The sequence below is a fragment of the Homo sapiens genome, chromosome 16 (assembly GCF_000001405.40).
Source record: "Homo sapiens chromosome 16, GRCh38.p14 Primary Assembly".
In the NCBI taxonomy this organism is placed as follows: Eukaryota; Metazoa; Chordata; class Mammalia; order Primates; family Hominidae; genus Homo; species Homo sapiens.
In genome coordinates this window covers 73,307,408-73,328,897 of record NC_000016.10, presented here as the reverse complement: position 1 = coordinate 73,328,897, position 21,490 = coordinate 73,307,408, and the positions used below count along the sequence as shown (strand labels likewise).

Below are 21,490 nucleotides of genomic sequence, written 5' to 3'. Positions count from 1 at the left end.
GCCCACTTGGGATGGGTTTTGCACAGATCAGAAAGATGAAGTATCTGCTTACTTATATTTGCTTTCAACCTATCCCTTGTTAGTCTGTTTCAACAGGAAGCAAATGGAATATTTTCATAAGGAATAGATATTGCAGCAATCACCCTGGTTTTATCCTTCTGAGCACTTATCTTTAATTCTGTTACAAGTCTCCTCTTATGTCCACCACACATCGTATTTGGTTTGCCTGTTTATTTCATCAGGAGACAGGATCATAGAATAGCTGAGAGAGAACTCTGGATACAGGTGAGTCTGAGCTCTCCTTGCAGCTTCGTTAACTTCTAGCTATGTGGTCTTAGGCAAGTTATGGGGCTTCTCTGAATCTCCAATTCCCCATATTTAAAACAGGGATAAGAATTAAACGTGCCTCATTAAAATGTCATGAAGATTGAGTTAATCCACACCAAACCTATAACTCCCGTCTTAGACTCTCAAAAATGATGGCTACTACTAGTGTCTTGTGGAATGCAATCTGGTCAAGCAGTGAGTGATGTTTCATTGACCAAATACAGGGAATACTATTTCCTGATATTGACCAGATTTACCTATCTACAGCAATAGGTATTTAAGGAAGACCTTTAAAATGGATGACTGTGCAACCACCACCTCCCCAGTTTCTACCACTTCTCTGTTCCCCACCGAAGATCTGGTAACATCAGTTGATTATAATACGCACTACAGATGGATCCAAGAATCCAAGACTATTTTCTTTTTAAAACAATTTAAGACCTCATTGTTTAAAAGACCCTGAGTTGCTCTGCCTTTAAAAAATAAAAATAAATAAAAATTAAATTAAATTTAAAAAGCATAGGAAAATGGTCAAATAGGTTCAGTATTCTGGCTGGTGTTCCCCCCGATCCTGAGCTGAAAAGGTTGATGACCAGTAAAGGAAATTAAATGCTTGTGTCTATGTTCACCCTGAGTCTGCACAGTACATTCTCTGGGATTTTATAAATCCATGGAGAATTGAGGCATTCCAGGCCAGCAAGACCATCAAGGTCCTCAGAGTCCCCTGGGGGCAAATGACAGAAACAAAACTGTCTACGGTGCACAAAATTCAGTTAAACCACACATGGGTGAATGTGAGATTGCAGTTGTCATCAATCACAAAGATTCTATTCCAGGGCAACTCAACATATGACACTCCAGCCTGCTGGGTCTAAGCTTCTTGACATAAAGTTGGTATTCTTGAATGATAAGGCAAGATACTTGCTGAATCTTGTCATTGTCTTTCAAATTTTCAGAATGAAGTCCAATTTAGGTTATCCTTGGAGCATCTTTCATTCATCTGCCAGGTGCCACCTTTGTAAGGAAGTATGTTATTAAAAGTGGGCATCATAGGAGAAGGGACCTGAAGACTGTGCTTTCATCCAACCATTGGTCATCCATGTTTTCAATATGGCAGGCCCAGATCTGCTTCTAGGGAAGTTGGGGAGGGAATAGAAGAGGGTTGTTTGGTTAAGGACTGACTCTTTGAAGGGTAGGAGTGGGTTTAGGGAATGAGTCATCATACCTGGTCTCATGGAATACTTGGAATATTGGGCAGCAGTTACTGCAGTTGTGGTAGGTCATGGCAGTAGAAGCCAGCATAGTTAAAATCAGCTCACATGCCATAGATTGCTTCTCCCTGTTCTACGTGCATAAGAGGAATGTAGAGCATACACAGAACTCAAGAACAAGTAAGCCAAAAGGCTTCTCAGAATACTACTCTCCCAGCAAATAAAAACAAAAATAGTTTGATCCTTAAGACCCATGACCATTTGTCTGGGCTTCATTTCTGCCAAATGTTCTGTTTTGTGTTATTTAGACAAAGCCTTTCAAAGAGCCTTTTGAGATACGGTTTCCTCAGGACTGAGAGTTATCTTATCCCCAGGAATGTTTATGTCCTATTCTTTAGAACCACAAATATGTGTGGAGAGCTATCTAAGATGTCATAATATGGACTTTGATGCGTTTGGCAAAGAAATCGATGGCATCGCCTCCAAGGTATGTTGATGTTGGGAGTTTCAATATTTAAATAAATACACTGGAGACCCAAATAGGGGCTATAGCTTCAGGTTTTGTTAAGAACTTTTCTGAGATATTATTCACTTACCGTAAAATTCATCCATTTGAAGTATAGGATTCAAGAGTGTTTAGTATATTCACAGGTTTGTGCAACCATCACCCTAATCTAAGTTGAGAATATTTTCATCACCCCAAAATAAAAACCACATCCCCATTATCAGTTACACCCTATACTTCCCTCCCCCCTCAACCCTTGGCAACCACTAGACTACTTTCTGTCTCTATAGGTTTGCCTATTCTTGGCATTGCAAATAAATAGACTCATACGATATGTGGTCCTTTGTGTCTGGCTTCTTTCACTTAGGATCGTGTTTTTAAGGTTCGTCCTCTTTGTGGTATGTGTCAGAACTACATTCCTTTACAACTTCAGTTTTAAAACTCATGAGCACCCACTGCATTGCACTGAGAACTGGAAAGTCGGCTCAGAATGGATTTCTGAACTTACTGCTGTTGAACATTAGCCCGTTATTGGACTTTAGGCTTTTCGTATGTGGTTCAGTGTCTTCTGGTCTGTCCTTTAGCTGCCTTCCAGATTTCCAAATTCTTAAATGGCCGTTGCATATGATATATTATTCTTTATGATTTATCTGTGTTAGGAAATACAAAGTAGCATTGAATAAATGATAAAGTATTTTGTCAATACTGCAGACCCTGAGACCATGGGCATGCCGCTCAGCCTCTGAGCTTCTATCTCTCCATCTGTAGAAGGACCATCCCTTTCCTGGGCTTCAAACCTCCATGATACTTCCATGACTTGGCAATCAAATGCCACCTTCTTAGTGTAATCACATGAGGCTCTCACGATATAGCCTCAGCTGACCTCCTCAGTATACTCTCCCCTGTGTGTGTGTGTGTGTGTGTGTTTGTGTGTGTGTGTGTGTGTGTGTGTTTGTGTGTGTGTATTATTAGACCAAACTCCATAATTCTGGGACACATGCATTTCTGTATATGCTGCTCCTTCTAATTGGCATGCCCTTCTGCCTTTCCCTTCTAGGAAAATTACTTCTCATTTGATATTGCTTTGATATTGCTGGATTTTTTTTTCCTAACGGTATCATTCTTGGAGGTGAAAAGGCTTAGCCCATGTTTTAATTGGCATGGATAAATTAGCAGTGGTATGTTTTCTGTTGTAGGCTTGTTGGATTGATCTTTGAATGTTGTAGACATGACTATCATTCACCAATACCCATTCTCCTCTACTTCTGGACACTTTGAAGAGCTACTTCGCACCTACCTTGAAGCAAGGCATGGCCATATGATATGAAATAAGAATGGATATGATCCATGTCATTGGACTGGCCACCTCCCCTGTGGAAAGCTTCTCTAAATTCCCCAGGCAGAGTCACCAGACTCACCCCAGATCCTAGGGCACTTAGATTCATTAGAGCCATTCTCTTATTGTGCCATAGCTATTTACCCACACATCTGTCTTAGCACTGCCCACACCATTTTTAGGCAATCTTAATACAGAGCACCTCTAAGCACCCAGAACCTAACCACATGCCTGGGCCATAGTAGAGCCCCATAAATATTAGTTAAACTTATAAATGAATTATTTTGAGGGAACTGACCTCACATTAACCATCCACCTCTCCCCATCCTCATGGCACCATCCTGGACTGAGCTACCATATTGCCTCTTGCCTGGACTACTCCAGGGCCCCCTGTGTTCTTTCTTCTGTCCTATCATCCATTCTCTACTTCGCAGCCAGAGAGGTTGTGAAAGAGTCAGATGAGCTCTAACATACACAAAAGAGATTTGTAAATTCCAAAAGCGCTATACAAAAATATAAGGTTTTTTATTATTTAATTTTATGCCTGTCCAATCTTGATTTTTAGAATAAAAGTGATCAAGAAAAGAGCAAATGTTGATCCCCTTGAGATAATTGGAAGCACTCTGGGCTGTCACAAAACCGAGGCTGAGAACTTCAGGAGGCACGATTATTCTCTCAGGTCTGTGCTCCACACCCAGGGCCTAGAAATTCTAACTTGACCCTTCCAGTCCTAATGGATATCTTCTCCAGAAGTTCTATAACTCCTGCCAGAGGACCTGAAATCACAGAGTTCAGGTGAAGCCTCACTAATTTGTACAGTTTCTGAAGCCTAATACTCCCTTGACCAAAGGCCTCTCCTTCTGTGTGTCATGTTGCAAGTAGTGGCTGGTGCCACACCCATTCTCAAATCCCCAGGACAGCTTTCTTAACCCACTTTCATCATTGCATTCTCTTCTTGTTCTCCATCATGTAATGAGAAAGCTCATAGGGCCACTTTACTTACTTAGTTTGCTTTGTGAAAACTACCATATCACTTCCTCTCTTGATGATCTTCCCACAAAAATGAATACCTTACTTCAAGGGAGCTGGGCAGTACAGCCCTTCATGTGTCTAGAAGTAGAGGAGAATGGGTATTGGTTAACTGTAGTCAAGTCTACCACACTCAAAGATCAATCCAATGAGCCTACAGCAGAAAACATACCACTGCTAATTTACTCAGGATGATTGAAACATGAGCCAAGCCTCTTCACCTCCAAGAATGACACTGTTAGGAAAAAAAACAATCCAGCAATATCACAGACAAATCCCAGGTGAATTTCAGCAAGCCTCCTATCTGACTCAGTTGCAACTGTGAATATGAGTCCATTCCTCTCCATGTGGTCCACTAGGTCCAGTCTGGCTACACTTGGCTACATGCCCAGCTCAAAGGCTCTTGTCAGCTACTCTAGTTCCTTTTCCCTCATGTGATAGATAATCCCATGGCCTCTACCATACACTCGGGCCCAAGGTAAAGGCCTCTGCCAGGAGGTGTTATCACAGTAAGCAGTCATGGCTCCCATGGAAGGTTTCTTTGATGCTTGAAGAGCCCTTCTGGCTCCTAAACAGATATTTTATTCACTTGCCAATCCTCTTAAGCCCAGATGGGTTGATCACTTTTGTTTTCATCCTTTATGAGATGAAGGAGACCATCTGGGAACATTGCCTAGCTACCCACTGCTCTACCCAGAATGTCTGTTTGCTCTCTCAGAGTCTTCACTGGTCTTAGAGGCTGGAAGTGATCCTCCTTCTCCTCCTCCCTTTTCCTGACTTTCTAGCTTCCTAGATCGTCAGCCCCTTCCTATCTGCTGTTCCTCTTTTACCCAAAGACATGTACAGTCTCTTTTAACCCGGCAAATTCTGCAGTCGACTTTGCCATTTACTCAAATTATTAACCTGCATCTCTTCTTTCATATCTTGGTCCAACTTCTCTAGCAAGTGGTCCATACTTATTACTTCCATTTCTTTATTTTCCTTCGATTCCTTTATCTTCCACACTCTTGTTCTTCTGAATGATAGCACCAGACACTGCTTACCTCCCTTGTTCCCTCACTTCTTGAAAATCCACTTTTCCCTTGGCTTCAGGAATCCCATACTTTCTTGGTTTTCCTCCCACTTATCAGACCATCCTTCCTGCCAACTGCTTTGGAATGTAACAGGCTGTCCTAGCTGGATGGTTATTCTTGCCATCCCTCAAACAGTCATGCTGCCTCTTTCCTTTGCACCTTTTCCTGTACTGTTTCCCCTACCAAGGATGCCTTCTTAACTCTGCTGGGTCTGTCCAGGTCCCACCAGGCCCTCCTGAAAGGCCATCCTTTCCATTATCCTTTCATGATTCCCCACCCCCAGCCATGATGATCGCTCTCCTTCCCAACCTAGAGCAACTCTTGTTCTTGGCAAACTCTTTTGGTAAAAGGCCAGAGAGTAAATATTTTAAACAGGCCACAGGGTCTCCGCTGCAGCTCTTCATCCCCAACGTTGTAAGGAAAAAGCATCCATAGACAATATGTAAACAATGTGTCTTTGAACACATTGAAACTGTATTCCAATAGGACTTAATTACACAAAACAAGTGGCAGACTAGTTTGGGCCTATCCAGGCTGCAGTTTGCTGACCGTCAGCTAGACCATTTTATTTTCCAACTAAATTATAAACTCCTTGAAAGTAGAAACTCTTTTTTATACTTCTTAGCACTTTGAAATGCACTTGAAGAGATTTTATACACATTAGTGGGCGTTCAGTAAATAGGGAATGGTCAAATGTGGAGACAGACCTTATAATGGTCTATGTCTTTGGATGCTTCCTAGTTAGATCACCCAGCATAGCTCTCACCACACATTTGGAGTTCAGTGTTTTCTGTTTGCTGTGCTCCCTACAAAAACACTTCCCAAGCCAAGGGCTATTGGGGAAGATTGGAAACCGAGAGCAATTCTGCCTACAAGATAAGGGCTATTCCTATGTTTGCTATTCCTGCATTTGTACTGCAACACCCGAAGCTAAACATTCTTCTCTAGGTGTCCTATTCAGATTCAATATCACAGCGTATTTCCATCACCATTCTACCTGATGGGACCATACATCAAGACATCCTGCATAACCTTATTATTCTGTTATGGCACATTTAAATGGGAAAGTTTCTTTAAACCTAGCTGCCTCGCCATTAAACGTGTGAAAAGTATATCATAAGCTGCAAAAAAAAAAAAGCCATGAAGATTCAAATGCGTTCTCTCTTTTCAGTGCTTTCTGGCTGATTTCATCTGCCTCTGGGCTCCCCCACGCCCCCATGCCTTCATTATGCAGACCAGGCTGGTGGACCAGGCAGGTCAGGGGCCCAGCCTTCCTCCCTCTGCTCTCCGAGCTGTGTGTAGGGCTACTGTTGCCAGCTTACTGAGCAAAGTCAGATCGACGGAGGGAAGCAAATGAACTGTGAGGGCTGGGCTTTGATGCCTTTTGGTTGGGAAATCACGAGTTTTATTCTCAGCGTCTACCTCCGGGATTTTTATGTGCTTAACGATTTCATACACTTTGTAGTTATTTTGGTCCTCAGGAGGGAACATGAGTGCAGCTGTCATGGAAAGTTGATAGGCACCAGAAGGTTTCCCTCTTTCTCTCTCAATCTCTCTCTCTCTCTCTGTCTTTTTCTCTACATACAATTTACCATGCTTAGGAAGAGACACCCGCCTACCCTTTGGGGGAGAGGGACAAAGCTGGTGTTTTGTCAGTAGTCAAAATATAAAACAAAAGGAAAGACATCTAGCAGAAGAAGGCAAGTTGAGCTGCAGGCCAGGCCTGCCTCTCTCTGGTGGCCTGCAGCATGTAGAGAAGAAGGTTCTGGAATAAATATGTCCAAGCTGCATCCTATTCTGGACCCTTCCAAAATAGGTGAATAGCCGTTGACCTGTTGTTCGGGAGCTTATCATCTGAAAGTCACGTTTTTGTCTGTTGCTAAAGTTGCAATGGAAACAATGCTGTATGCTGCAACTGGCTGGGTCCAAAGGGAATAATAATAATTCATAAAATGTACATGCCCTGGACTGAGTTATGTCCCTTTATAACTGTTACCTCATTTAAATCTCCCAACAACCTGAGGAGGTCAGGTACTGCTGTGACCCCATTTTTCAGGTCAGAAAACTGGGGCTCAGAGAGGTCACCAGGCTAGCTAGTGACAGCAGGTCTCTAATGCAAAGTTTAGGATCTCGCCTCCTGAGCTATCCTGCTTCCCTGTACTGCTTACATGGACTCCTGAGGAAGCCAGAGCGTATCATAGGACCCTAGAAAATTTTAGAGAGCAATGTTCTATCACGTAAGACTCAGGAGAAATGTGGGGATGAGAGTGGAGGAGGCAATTTATGAGTGTGGTTGGCTTTGCTCTCTGTCCTAGTATTCAGCTCCTTCTGCAGGTCTTAGAGCACTGTGCCTTCCCCCTTTTCTGCCATGACAGGATCTCCTGGGGGTCAGATCCCTCTGTTGGCACCAGACATCTGCAGCATTGGCACAAAGAAGGAACTGAGTCAGTGGCTCATGGTTAGAACTGAGCCCTGTGCTGGTAGGATCTCTGTCGTCAGAAACTATCACAGTCCCAAGCTCATCTTCTGCCATGTGTCCAATTCAAGAGACATTTGCCGGTGTGAAGGCTTCACTTCACTTTATGGTAAAGAGATTTTCAAATAAAGCACAGTCAGCCATAGAGAGGTGGGAAGGGGGCCAAACGAGTGAGGGGTGTGGGGATTTCGGGGCCTCAGACATCCCACAGATGGTTTATAGTACCACTGGGAGCCTTCAATGGGATGACAGAGCCCAGAGACTTCTGGCTGTCTCATGTGTGCCACAGCAGTGCTTGCTAAATAGCAGAAAGAAACCAAGCACAGGTAGATAGGTAGGGCTGTTGGAATAATACCCACTGAAATATCACCACCCTTTCGACATCAGTAGGAGGAAAAATTGTCACTATGTTAAAGGAAACAGGAAACCCGATTTCCAAAGGAAATCTTCCCCACTAGCTCAAATGTGAGATGATGTGGATCTGTAGCTGTCAATGGACTTTTATGTTCGATAAATAAATGCCGTGTAATTTGCCACCCTCGCGGTTATTAGAGTATTTTATTTAAGTGGCATTCGTGCTTGGCTATTGGTTATAGCCACAGCTCATGGGTTGAGTTTTGTTCACTGTTGTGTTTTCTACAGCCAAGGTACAGCAGGTTCATCTGGAATATGTTTTGTTTTGTTTTTTAAATAAGGGGTCATTAGTCTGATGGGCTGATTTGAACGATGAATTCCATGTCAAACAAAACTCATTGTCTACCTTCTGAATCCCAGGCCCTCGACTGAGACACAGAACTGAGGGTCTTTCTTTTCATAGTGATTGCATCCCTGCGGTTCTTCCCTCTTCCAGACCTCCAACCTTTACCTCCTCCTCCTTTTCTCCCTCATTTGTACTGGATGCCAGTCTCTGTCCAGCTCTCTCTGGAGATAAAGACTCGCTTTAGCATACAGCACACTTTCCTTAATGCAACCGAGTTCACTCTCATCATTTTAATAGTGGACCTAAGGTATGTTGCCATGTGAACAAACCATCACGTCGCCATAGCAACCAGCCAGATTGCAGCACACCAGTCTGAGGACTGGACCTTTCTCTCTGTCTCTCTCCTCTCTCTTCTTCTTCGCCTGGGCTCTTTCTTTTGTTAAATTTGCTGAAGTGCTCACAATAGGAAGATTCAGTCTGCTTTTTCAAGCGGGGTTTCGTTTAAACCTATAAATTGTTGTATAAACAGAAAGGCCAGTGTGGCACTAGACTTACTTTCAAAGCCAACTTGATGAGGACTTTGAATGTGGACCCCACCCCCACTCTCTGCCATGCCTTACAGTTTGATCAAAAAGAGATGATCACACGTATTGGTGGCATTTGGACTTAACCAACCCCCCGCCCCTGAGTTTCTTCTTAGCTTCCCCCAGCGGGACTCCATGACTCTCCTGTCTGGGCCTGGTGACCACAGCTAGCCCTCAACAACGCTCGGAAGCCCTTTACAGTTTCTGAGCTCTGTGGGACCCGAATTAGACCCAATTAAAGATGTGGATTCTCCTTCCCTATCCCCTATTGCCAAGTAACCTGTGCTGGTTCCAATTCCAACCACGTGGCGAGAGTGGGGATGTTGAAAGGATAAAATGATAAAGGGACATGTATCTCGTCTGCCTGCCCATATTCATCAACGTTGCTTGGCCTTTGATGCTCCTAACCTTCTCATCTTTGTTCAGGGAAGCATAAAGAATCATTCTTCCAAGCCCTCACATCTTTTCCTATTTGATTCCCTGCTTTCTTGCACATGGCGCATCTATTACCTGCTCCGGTCCTTGTGCGTCCTCTGCCCCCCCCATTCCACACCTCCCCTCCCCTCCCCTCAGCACCTCACCCCCTCCATGGTATTTACTGCTGAGCTGGTCCTGAGAAATGCACCAGTGGGCCAGGCTGCGTGTGGGCCGACCGCAGGCTCAGCTGCAGACAAGTGTGGGGTGGGGTGAATAGCCCTCCACAAGCAAGAAGGGCCAGTTGGGCTTTGTGCATAAAATTACAGCAAACAAGCTTCAAATAGCATAGGACACTTTCATAATTGATTTATGCAGGGGCGCTGAAAAGTTCTATTACCTTTTGTTTAGCTCAGGGGGCCTGACTCTATGCAATCCATTGCTGAAACTAATTACAAGATATAATTAAACTGTGACACAAAGATATTATACCGTTAGTTTACTAATGACACCGCGAAGCTGTACCACCAGCACAGGACAGTGATTACGCTTCATTTATTATTTATCCTTTTGCTAAATGAGACGCTGACATTTTCAAAAATTACTTTGAGGTTTCTTAATTGTCGGCAGCAGGATGGACTAGAAGGAGATCTCCTTCCTCTTAGTTACTTATCCAAACCTCAGAAGCATTATTAGCCAGAAGAAAAAGGAATAAAGAAAAAAAAAAGCAAAAACAGTCACCCAATAGTAATAAGTAAAGCCTAATTGCATCTTTGGACATTTTTGAATTTTTACAAACAGTGCTCTACACTGTATGGGGTTGCTGACCTGGGGTTTAGGTCCAGGGGAGAGAAGCTGTGTCGTGAGATTAAAGGTGACTCTAATTCTGTACCTGGACACGTGCAGGTGGCCCTGGATGTGTGTGGGAAGAGGTCGGGCCGAGAATGGCTGGAAGAAAATTGACCCCATGGTTCCAGCTTTTTCCAGGAGCCCATTTCAGCAGGTAGGGCTCTGATATTATATTATGGTTGGGTTTGGGGTTTTATTTTGTTTTGTTTTGTTTTTGCAACTTTTCACCTTCTCCATTTCCCCGAGCAAAACAACTCACTGGCATTACTGACATGGAAACTTTTGCATGTGAGACACTCAAGTCTACCTGGCAAGGACCAGGACTAATGTGCACTTCTGGTTTGGCATTTGCATTCTTATCCTCTGTAGCTGGGAGGATTCCCTGTAAGGACTCATAACCCAAATGGATGCTTTTGCTTCATTGTAAAGGTTGTCACCCTCCTTTGCCTTAATTGTCAGTATCACTCTGGCTATTGGCAAGAAATGCTCTGGGAAAGATTGGGAATGGGAATTCCCTCTATCCACTTTTAGGACTGGAATTCTCTGGGCCCATTTATTTGCCATCCCTTCATCTCCATGCGTGAACCTGGCTTTATTATCCCTCTCATTTATCACATTCTCCAAACAATGAAAGATTAATTTACTGGCCGCCGTTTGATGAGTATTTGATGCCGCGCATGTGTATGTGCATGAGTGGGTCTCCTTAGGGCTCATCTGGGTCAGGCATCCTTACGAGGTACTGCTGGCCCCCAATGGCCACTAACCTCTCCATAACCCCAGCAGTGATGCAATCACAGCAACCGCTGGTCGGCTTGAGACAGGGTTTAATTTCTTCTGAGTGTAATGGCATCCGGCATCTATAATTATGCTATTTTCTCTCCTGTGCTGATTAAATACGATTTACCCAGAGAGCTACATGATGAATATTTGAGTATAGTGTGTTGAGCCAATAGCTGGTAAAATAGCCACAATAAATAAACTTAGAGTGGGGGAAGGGCCCAGCGATGGCTGTGACTCTGCCGGGTAACATTAGCAGGTGCAAGTGGGAAGAAAGCAAGATTAATACTGAAGCCAGAACAATACCATAACCACCACCACCGCCACCCCCACCCCACCCCCCGGCTTCTGTTTAAAGGGAAAGCGGCCCTGGAACATGGAAGTCTCATCTTGGGAGCTTCCTGAACCTCAGCAGTAGTTATACAACCAGACCTGCCCATCAGTATCATGGTGGGTATTGTTTTCACCACCACCCACCCCCCTCTTAAGAATAATCTTATTCCCTTGTATATAGCTAAGAAATGAAATTCAGTATCACCTCTTCCCATCACCCTAGACCTGCCCATCTCACGTCTCCTGTGTTTATTAAAAAGAGGCCTGGCTAGTCTCCAAGTTCCTCTGTCTGTATCAAAGTTTCTCACAGATTGAGTAAAATGTCTTTACACATCTCACAAAAGGGCCAACAGCATGATACCAAAATCAGCCAGGAAACACTGGCAAGCATTTCCCTCCCCTTAGCTCAAGAAACAAATCAAGAATCTTGAGAAATGACAATTTCTTTCTCCACCATATCCGGATTTTTCTGCAAAATGATGCCTTGTGTGTTTGCATTCACTGGTCAGGAGTGCAGCGTGAATGTGAAGGCCTAAGTATAGCAACCGTTTGGAAGTATAGGTAGGGAGGTGATAAAAATCAAGCATTTTATCGCAAGAATTTGCTGAGGTCACCAAAGTACTAGATCTAGTGGAGTGGGGGATTCCCAACAAGTATAAGACGAGATCCTTTCTTTCAAGGCACATGGAATATTATTTGGTAGAAAAGACCTGTGTACATGAAACCGTTGGAAAAGAATATCAAAGAGTATCTACTAGGTATTAGGTTGAATGGTAGAGATGACTTAAATCATCCGAGGTCAGAGAAGGAACAGTCCATTGTGAGTTGAGAGCAACGGGGAAGGCCCAGCATAGGTGATGACCTGTGGACAGTCAAGAGTGTTGGGGGTGAGGGTGGGGTGGACATAAAGGGGCAGGTCTGGAGGGGCTGCCACTGCAAGAAAGGGAGGCAGCCTGTGCCTGGAAACAAAGCCTCGTGTCCTGTCACCTTTAAATTGTATTGCCAGAGACCCTGCTTTTTCTCTACATTCAGGTTGGTTTTCCTCAATGACCTTCACTGACCTCAGGGTTATACTGCAAGATAGAGATATGCAATGGGGATTTTTCTCCTGCTGTCTTTGCTAGAACACCTGAGGTTTGGGTTAGACTAGAAGCTTCCGGATTTATTTTTCCTGTGGTATCACCTTCTTTGTGATAAAACATCCAACAAAGGAGACACTGTCCTCTGAGAGCCTCTCCCCATGGTCTGGCCAGTGCGGGCCAGCGGTTTCCAACCCCCACTAAGAGGTCAGGGAGGGCTGGTCCAGGCAGGACGAGGAGGCTGATGGGTATGCGTCTTGTGTATCCTTGACTTTCAGGCTGAGCATTGCCTACTTTAGTAGCAACACCTTCTTCCTTGCAACTCCCAGGGGGGCTGAAAATAGAGTTAAAAGCTTCTCTTACACATAACTGAAAACGGGAAGTGAGTGGGCAATGACACCCTTATAGGGAAATATTCTTTGAGTGTATGTTGATGCATACAAAGAAAACACCATCTCCTTAGGCACTTTGCGTTTGCTAGTCATTTTGCTTTCCTTTCCTCTTTTGCTAACCTTGCTTTTTCCTTTCTTCTTTACCGCTGAAGGCTCATATAATAAAACCATTGTATTTCTGTTTGGGTCTGTTTCAATGTCTTTTTTTTTCAATACCTGGTCCCATGGCATGTTTTTGTGCAGCTTTTGTCTGTGTTGTCTTTTTGTTTGGAAATTATGTGAAAGATAAGCCTCCAGAGGAGGATGGCTTTGGATGGTCCAAAGAGATACCGGTATTAATGGAAATCTGGCAAAAGTGAAATTAAACTGAGAATATCAAGAGCGATTTTCCTATCAGCGAGAGGTATAGTAAACTAAAAGGTAGAAACTTTACTATAGAAATTGCTGATATCAGGGCAAGGCTTCAAAACTTTGAAAAGGCAACAACGTGAGTACTTGTGCATTTCCACCACATAGGGGAAGCTGAGGAGGCATTGTATCATTATATGTCACTTGAACTATATTAAATGCTCTTTTTTCTTTTTTTTTTTTTTCTTTTTGAGATGGAGTTTTCACTCTTGTCACCCAGGCTGGAGTGCAGTGGTGCTCACTGCAACTCCCAGGTTCAAGCGCTTCTCCTGCCTCAGCCCCCTGACTAGCTGGGATTGTAGGTGCACCCCACCACATCCAACTAATTTTTGTATTTTTAGTAGAGACAGGGTTTCACTACGTTGGCCAGTCTGGTATCAAACTCCTGACCTTAGGTGATCCGCCTGCCTCAGCCTCCCAAAGTGCTGGAATTACAGGCGTGAGCCATCACGCCCAGCCTGAATTATTTTACATATTCTGTATTCAAATCACAAATTATCTAATGAGAATCAAGAGTCAGGAGACAAGACAGTTGCCTCTAACTTATGGGAAAGTGGAAGGTGCTCAGTAAATTCTTTCTCTGTTGAATTGAACAATACCAGGAGGAAGAAAAGTTGTTGGGTCTTTTACCCTTCAATCTGTCAAATATTAAGAAATGTCCTAATGTGGCAAGGGCTATCTGGAAGAATGAGTAAGTGGCCATTTGGTAGGAGGAGCAGCTCAGGGATGTCATTCTTTCTCTGTGAACAGCAACTTTCCTGCCTTGAGAGTTTACCTTTTTCATCCCCTCATTTCATGTCACCTAGATCATAACACACACAGCAGTTGAGAGGAAGGAGCTCCAGAGAATGCCATGTAGGAGCACGGACTACAGAGCCCAGTGGTTGGAGTTTCCATCCCGGCTCTGCCATTTATTAGTCATGTGACTTTGACCCAGTTCTTGAATGTCTCTGGGTCTCTCATTAAAATGAGGATAATAGTTGTACCTACCTATTTTAGGGTTCTGCAGAAAAACAGAACCAATAGGAAAGGTACAGGCAGAAAAGGAGAATTATCGTAAGGAACTGGTTCACAAGGAGTGAGTATAGAGGCTGGGAAGTCCAAAATTTGCAGGGTTGGCCAGCAGGCTCAAGACTCAGGAGTGCTGATAGTGCAGACGAAGTCCAAAGACAACCTGCTAAAAAATTTCCTCTTGCTCAGGGAGGCCTATCTTTCTATTCTATTCAGGCCTTCCACTGATTAGATGAGACCCACCTCTTAAAGAGGACAACTGCTTACTCAAAGCTCACCAGATTTTTTTTCTTTTGAGACAGGGTCTCTCTCTGTTGCCCAGGCTGGAGTGCAGTGGTATAATCTTGGCTCACTGCAACCTCCACCTCCTGAGCTCAAGCCATCCTCCCACCTCAGCCTCTCAAGGAGCTGGGACTACAGGTGTGTGCCACCATGACCAGCTAATTTTTGTAGAAATGGGGTTTCCCCACGTTACCCAAGCTGGTCTCGAACTCCTGAGTTCAAGAGATCCACCGGCCACAGCCTCCCAAAGTGTTGGGATTACAGGTGTGAGCTACCGTGGCTGACTGAAGTTTACCAATTTACATGTTAATCTCATCCAAAACCACTCTCCAAGCTGACACATAAAATTAAGCATCATACTACCTCCTAGGTCTGCTGTGTTTGCCTGACACATAGTGTGGGCTGTGTACATGTTTGTGCCATTTTTATGACTGGGAAAATGACAGTGATGATGAGGATTCCTAGTTCTATTGTTACTAATACCGCTATGGAGTCTGAAGTGCCAGGTTTTAAAACCCAGGTGTATCGCTCATTAGCTGTGTGACCTTGAGCAAGATCTTCAACCTCCTCGAGTCTACATTTTCTCATCTATGAAATAGGGACAATAAGAGAGACATCCCTTAGGGTGTTATGGTAAATAAGTTGTATAGGTGCAGCATTCCAAACTGTGTTTTTTGACACGTAGTACATACTATACGAGCGTTTACAGCTGTGGTTGTGATGATGATGACTATTACTCTTTTAGCATTACTACAGAATCTGGCTGTATTCGTCTGTTCTCATACTGCTATAAAGAACTACCCAAGACTAAGTAATTTATAAGGAAAAAAAGGTTTAATTGACTCATAGTTCCACAGGCTACACAGGAAGCATGGTTAGGAGGCCTCAGGAAACTTACAGTCATGGTGGAAGGTGAAGGGAAAGCAAGCATGTCTTAATATGGCGGAGCAGGAGAGAGAGCGAGAAAAGGGGGAGGTGCCACACACTTTTAAACCATCAGATCTCGGGACAACTCGCTATCATGAGAACAGCAAGGGGGAAATCTGCCCCCATGATCCAGTCACCTCCCACCAGGCCCGTCCCCTGACACATGGGGATGACAATTCAACATGAGGTTTGGGTTTGGACACAGAGCCAAACCATATCACTGACCCATTTTTGGCCTTGGACAAGATTCTTGACCTACCCAAAACTTATCTGTAAAATGAGGATAGAGGCATAGCATTTTGAACTCTGATGCATAGTACGCATTATACAAATGTTTGCAACTACAGTTATGATGATTACTATTACTATTATTGGCATTGCTGTAGAATCTGATACATTAACTAGCTGTTGACCTTGAGCATGCCCCTAAACTTCCCTGAGCCTGTATTTCCTCATCTGGAAAACGAGGCAAATGTAGAGTTGTGCCTTTCTTGCAAGGTGGCTATGAGGAACAAGTTGGACAGAGCGTGTGAAGCATTTGGCACCATTCCTGGTCCATGGCCCACTGAAAGCCCTCAATGAATGTTGACCCCTCTGCATTTGCTCATGCATTGAGCAATAGGCACCAGGAATGTATGAGTAGCATCGCTGCTCTCTCATTTTCCCAGCCCACTGTCCTCTCGGCAACAACCTTGACACACTATCATTAAGTCAGTGATCGGGACTGGATGACTTCCCAAGTTAGCCACTCTATTTTTGGACAACTCTAAGATTTAGAAGAGTTTTTTTTTTTCTTTGTGTTTGGAAGTTATGTGAAAGAAGATAAGTGATCAGTTCTCATCAGTGATTAGTGCCAGCTCTGTGGTCTGGGCCCATGCACAGCACATATGTCCCTCTCCTTATGACAGCCCTCCAAATATTTAAAGATAGCTCTCACACCTCTCCTAAGTGTTCTTGTCGTCAGACTAAACATCCCAACCTCCTTCATCCTTTTGTCACGTGACACAATTTCAAGCTCCTTACTACTTCCTTCATCCTTTTGTCACGTGTCACAATTTCAAGCTCCTTATTTTGGTTGCTGTCATCTGGACCTACTCCAGGTTTTCAACAGCCCCCTTAAAATACGTCACACACCACTGCATTCAGCAGTCCAGATAAGTGCCCCACAGAGGACTGCTGCATGCGTCATCCTGGTGCAAAATTTTGTTAAGGTGTCCTAAGTTTAGATCACTCTTTCAGCAACCTCATCAGTTCTCTTCTGTTTGATTTTGAGCTTCCATTGACTCACACCCTTTTTACATAAATGGGTCATAAGCAAAAGCATCTTACTCCTGCCTTTGACAATTGATGCTTTGAACCTATATGTAAATGTTGCACGGTCCAATTATATTTCGTCTTGTTAAGTTTGGCCTATGTTTCAAATCACTGAGGTGTTTTGGAAAAAAATTATATTTGATCAGAAAATTAATTCATGCTTATCGTATTTCAGAAATATAGAAAAGTTCAAAGAAGAGAACAAACATTTTTATCTACGAATCAAGAGATAACCATTGTTGGCCTTTTGGTGACTTCTTTTTTTTTTTTTTTTTTTTTTTGAGATGGAGTATGTCTCTGTCGCCCAGGCTGGAGTGCTGTGGCATAATCTCAGCTCACTGCAACCTCTGTCTCACAGGTTTAAATGATTCTCGTGCCTCAGCTTCCCCAGCAGCTGGGATTACAAGCGTCTGCCACCTGGCTAATTTTTGTATTTTTAGTAGAGACAAGGTTTCACCATGTTGGCCAGGCTGGTCTCGAACTTCTGACCTCAGGTGATCTGCCTGCCTCGGCCTCCCAAGGTGCTGGGATTACAGGTGTGAGCCACTGCATCCATCCATTTTGGTTACTTATTAACAGTCCTCTGTCTTGGGGTGTTTGTTTGTGTATTTTTGTTTTTTGTTTTTTTTTGTGGAGGGAGACGAAGTCTCTCTCTTGTCCCCCAGTCTGGATTGCAGTGGTGCGATCTTGGCTCTCTGCAACCTCTGCCTCCCAGGTTCAAACAATTCTCTTGCCTCAGCCTCCCAAGTAGCTGGGATTACAGGCGCCTGCCACCATGCCCGGCTAATTTTTGTATTTTTAGTAAAGACAGGGTCTCACCATGTTGGCCTGGCTGGACTCAAACTCCAGACCTCAGGTGATCCGCCTGCCTCGGCCTCGCAAGGTGCTGGGATTACAGGCGTGAGCCACTGCACCTGGCTGGGGTGTTTGTGTTTATGACATGTGTGTGATGCATTTGTTGTTACAAAATTGGGATTGCATGTATACACAGCTTTGATTCTTTTTTTTTTCATTTAATATTACAGGGTGAGCCTATATCAAGTTATAATTGAAAACATGACTGCAAAGTACATCCTGTGGACATATGATAATCAATAATTTTTAACGATTCTTTTATTGTTAGAAATGAGGATTATTTCCAGAATTTTGCTGTTATAAATAATGCTTCATTGAGCACCTTGGTGTATATCAGTTTCTGAGCCTCAGTACTATTGACATTTTGGACTGGATAATTCGTTGTTGTGAGGATGGTCCTATGTACTATAGCATATTTTGCCTCTACCTATTAGATGTCAGCAGCACTGCTGCCACCCCAGTTGTGACAACAAAAAAATGTCTCTGGACATTACTAAATTTCCCTGGGGGTAAAATTGCCCCCATGGAGAGCTACTGGTCTTTGTCTCTTCAGTTGCATATGCAGGAAAGGAGAGAGCAAGAGCAGTGACCCCGAGTGCAGACAGCAAAGGAATGCATTGTCAGTGGAGAGTTTTACAACAATCATAAACCAGCTAAAAATTGGTCACTTTTTCTTATCATCCTGTGCTAATAATGTCAATAATAAAACTAGCTTTCCTGCCAGGGTGGAATGCTCCCATTTCACCACCACCACCACCACCACCTCAGATGGTTTTGCCATTGTCTCTGTTAGAAAGAGTCCCAAAGCAGACCGGGTGCAGTGGCTCACACCTGTAATCCCAGCACTTTGGGAGTCCAAGGCGGGCAGATCACAAGGTCAGGTGTTCGAGACCAGTGTGGCCAATATGGTGAAACCCTGTCTCTACTAAAAATACAAAAATGAGCCAGGCGTGGTGGTGGGCACCTGTAATCCCAGCTACTCAGGAGGCTGAGGCAGGAGAATCGCTTGAACCTGGGAGGTGGAGGTTGCAGTGAGCGGAGATTGCTCCATTGCACTCCATCCTGGGTTACAGAGTGAGACTCCATCTCAAAAAAAAAAAAAAAAAAAAGGCAAGAAAAAACGAGTCCCAAAGCATGTTTATGCCTCCTAAAGTTTTACAGAATTTTAACTAAACTGCTATTTTTGTCCTCACAGGTCTCAGACTACTTGAGGATACTGAGGCTATACTCAGAATTATCTTGTTCCTCTGTTAAGCATTATTGTCCTGCTGGATCAAATTCAAAGGGCTTAACTCTCTCTTCTCTAAGTTCCTGAGAGTACATGCCTGAGGCTCTGAGACCCTGCCCCAGTTTGTCAAAACATGTTCCCATTATAATACTCCTCTGCTTAAAAGTAACTTTCAGTATCTTCCTTTACTGCTAATCAAGGGCAAACCCCACTCTCATCTGTCGCTTCCCACATCATCAAATTTCATTTCCCACAACCCCCTCATGGGTTCCTTCCACTGCTGTGGACTAGTTTCCTTGCAGGAGTGCACATTAAACTCCATAAAGAAATTGTGGTTCATATACAGCATGGGATACAACACAGCCATAAAAAAGAATGAGATTATGGCCTTTGCAGGAACATCAATGGAGCTAGAGGCCATCATCCTTAGAAAACTAACACAGAAACAGAAAACGAAATATCACATGTTCTCACTTGTAAGTGGGAGCTAAATGATGAGAACACATGGACACAAGGAGGGGAACGAGAGACACTGGGGCTACCTGAGAGTGGAGGGTGGGAGAAGGGAGAGGATCCAAAAAAACAACTATGGGGTACTAGGCTTAGTACTCAGATGACAAAATAGTCCATAAAACAGATCCCCATGACACAAGTTTACCATATAACAAACCTGCACATGTAGCCCTGGACCTAAAATAAAAGATTAAAAAATCATAATAAAAAATAGTAAACTTCATAGCTTCCCATCTGTGTTCCACAATCTTGGAACACCCTTTCTTGTTTTCTATATAAACCCTACCAGGAGGAAGCCTGTCATGGGATCTAACTTCCTCATTGGTAATTCTGCTTCTCCAAATTCTTAGCTTGATTGTGTAGTCCCTATCATATCATGTCATATAATTTTGTACTTAACTTACATATCTATATATTTTTAAGATATATTTTAATATAATATATATAATATGTTTTAGTAACTTAGTCCCATCTCAACAATTAAGAATGTAAACTTCCTGCAGGAAAAAAAAAGTCTAATACTCATATGTCTTCTCAAAAATGGTTCTGAAAACACTCAATAAATTGTTGACGATAAATGCATAAGTTGTTCCATTGTAACACTACTTAATCAAGTTCCTCATTTCCTAGCTTAGCACTACAAAATTCAATGCGAGAATTAAAAAATAGGCTGGGCGTGGTGGCTCACACCTGTAATCTCACCACTTTGGGAGGCCAAGGTGGGTGGATCACCATCTGGTGAACTCCCACCTGGTCAGGAGTTCGAGACCACCCTGGAAAACATGGTGAAACCCCTTCTCTACTAAAATTACAAAAATTAGCCAGGCATGGTGGTGAGTGCCTGTAATCGCAGCTACTAGGGAGACTGAGGCAGGAGGCGGAGGTGGCATTGAGCGGAGAACCCAGGAGGTGGAAGTGGCAGTGAGCAGAGATTGCGCCATTGCACTCCAGCCTGGGTGACAAGAGTGAAACTCTGTCTCAAAAATAAATAAATAAATATATATATATATATATATATATATATATATATATATATATATATATATATATGCATGCATATGGCTCAGATAACTCAATCTAAACTTTTAACTAGGTAGACAGCCAAACCTAAATCTCAAAATATGTGCTAGATTTTTTATTACTTATCTCTCCGACAAGTATTTTCTACAGAAATCAAATGATCGGTAACTCTCTCTAGTTCTAAGTGCCTTTTCCCCCTCTTTGGCTGTTTATATCCTTTAGCCTTCAAACCCAAGCCATCATTTAGCATAGGTTGCAGAAATCACGGGAGCTGGCAAATTTGGGGGTGAGTGCTGGTCCTACAGAATTAAGGAGCTTCCTGAACTTTCTGTTCAGTGTTCCTGTAAAGGCAATTGCTCATCTTCAAGGTACCTGGTGCCCATTTCCAAATGTCATCCCACAGTTCATTTAATCTGAAAATAATGCCGAATACTTCTTGTGCCTTCCCCCAATTTTTCAAACTCTGAACTTTAGGAAATTATCATCACCTCGTGGGTATAAAATTTTAAGGAAAATTTCAACTGTGAATTTTAACAACCCAGGATAGTAAGAAACCAAACAGATATAAGAGAAGGAAAGTTGGCCAAGGGTGAGAAGGGAAGAAAAGAAAGATCTCCTCGCTGGGTTCCTCTTGAGAATGAGCCTATTTCTCTTGTTTCTCCAGCTGTGGTACCTACCTGTGTACACCAGAACAAAATGAAGTTAACCTTGACTTGGCTACTGGCGTGACTGTTTTGAAGGACTATCCTAGAATATGTTTTTGCAGAAAGAAGCAGTTTTTCCCGTTTCAGAGAAACAAGAGAGTTCTTTTAAGTCCAGCCTCCAAAAGCTCCTTGGCCAACAACCT

At 43.3% G+C, this 21,490-nt stretch overlaps 1 protein-coding gene across 1 annotated transcript in view; it reads left to right on the top strand.

Annotated features, from left to right (window-relative positions):
* Positions 1-21,490, top strand: part of ZFHX3 (zinc finger homeobox 3) — a 1,109,046-nt gene that overhangs the window by 563,033 nt on the left and 524,523 nt on the right. The window contains exon 4 of the mRNA NM_001386735.1: positions 10,562-10,658. The gene's annotated coding sequence lies outside the window, so the exon portion shown is untranslated. The remainder of the gene's footprint in view (positions 1-10,561; positions 10,659-21,490) is intronic.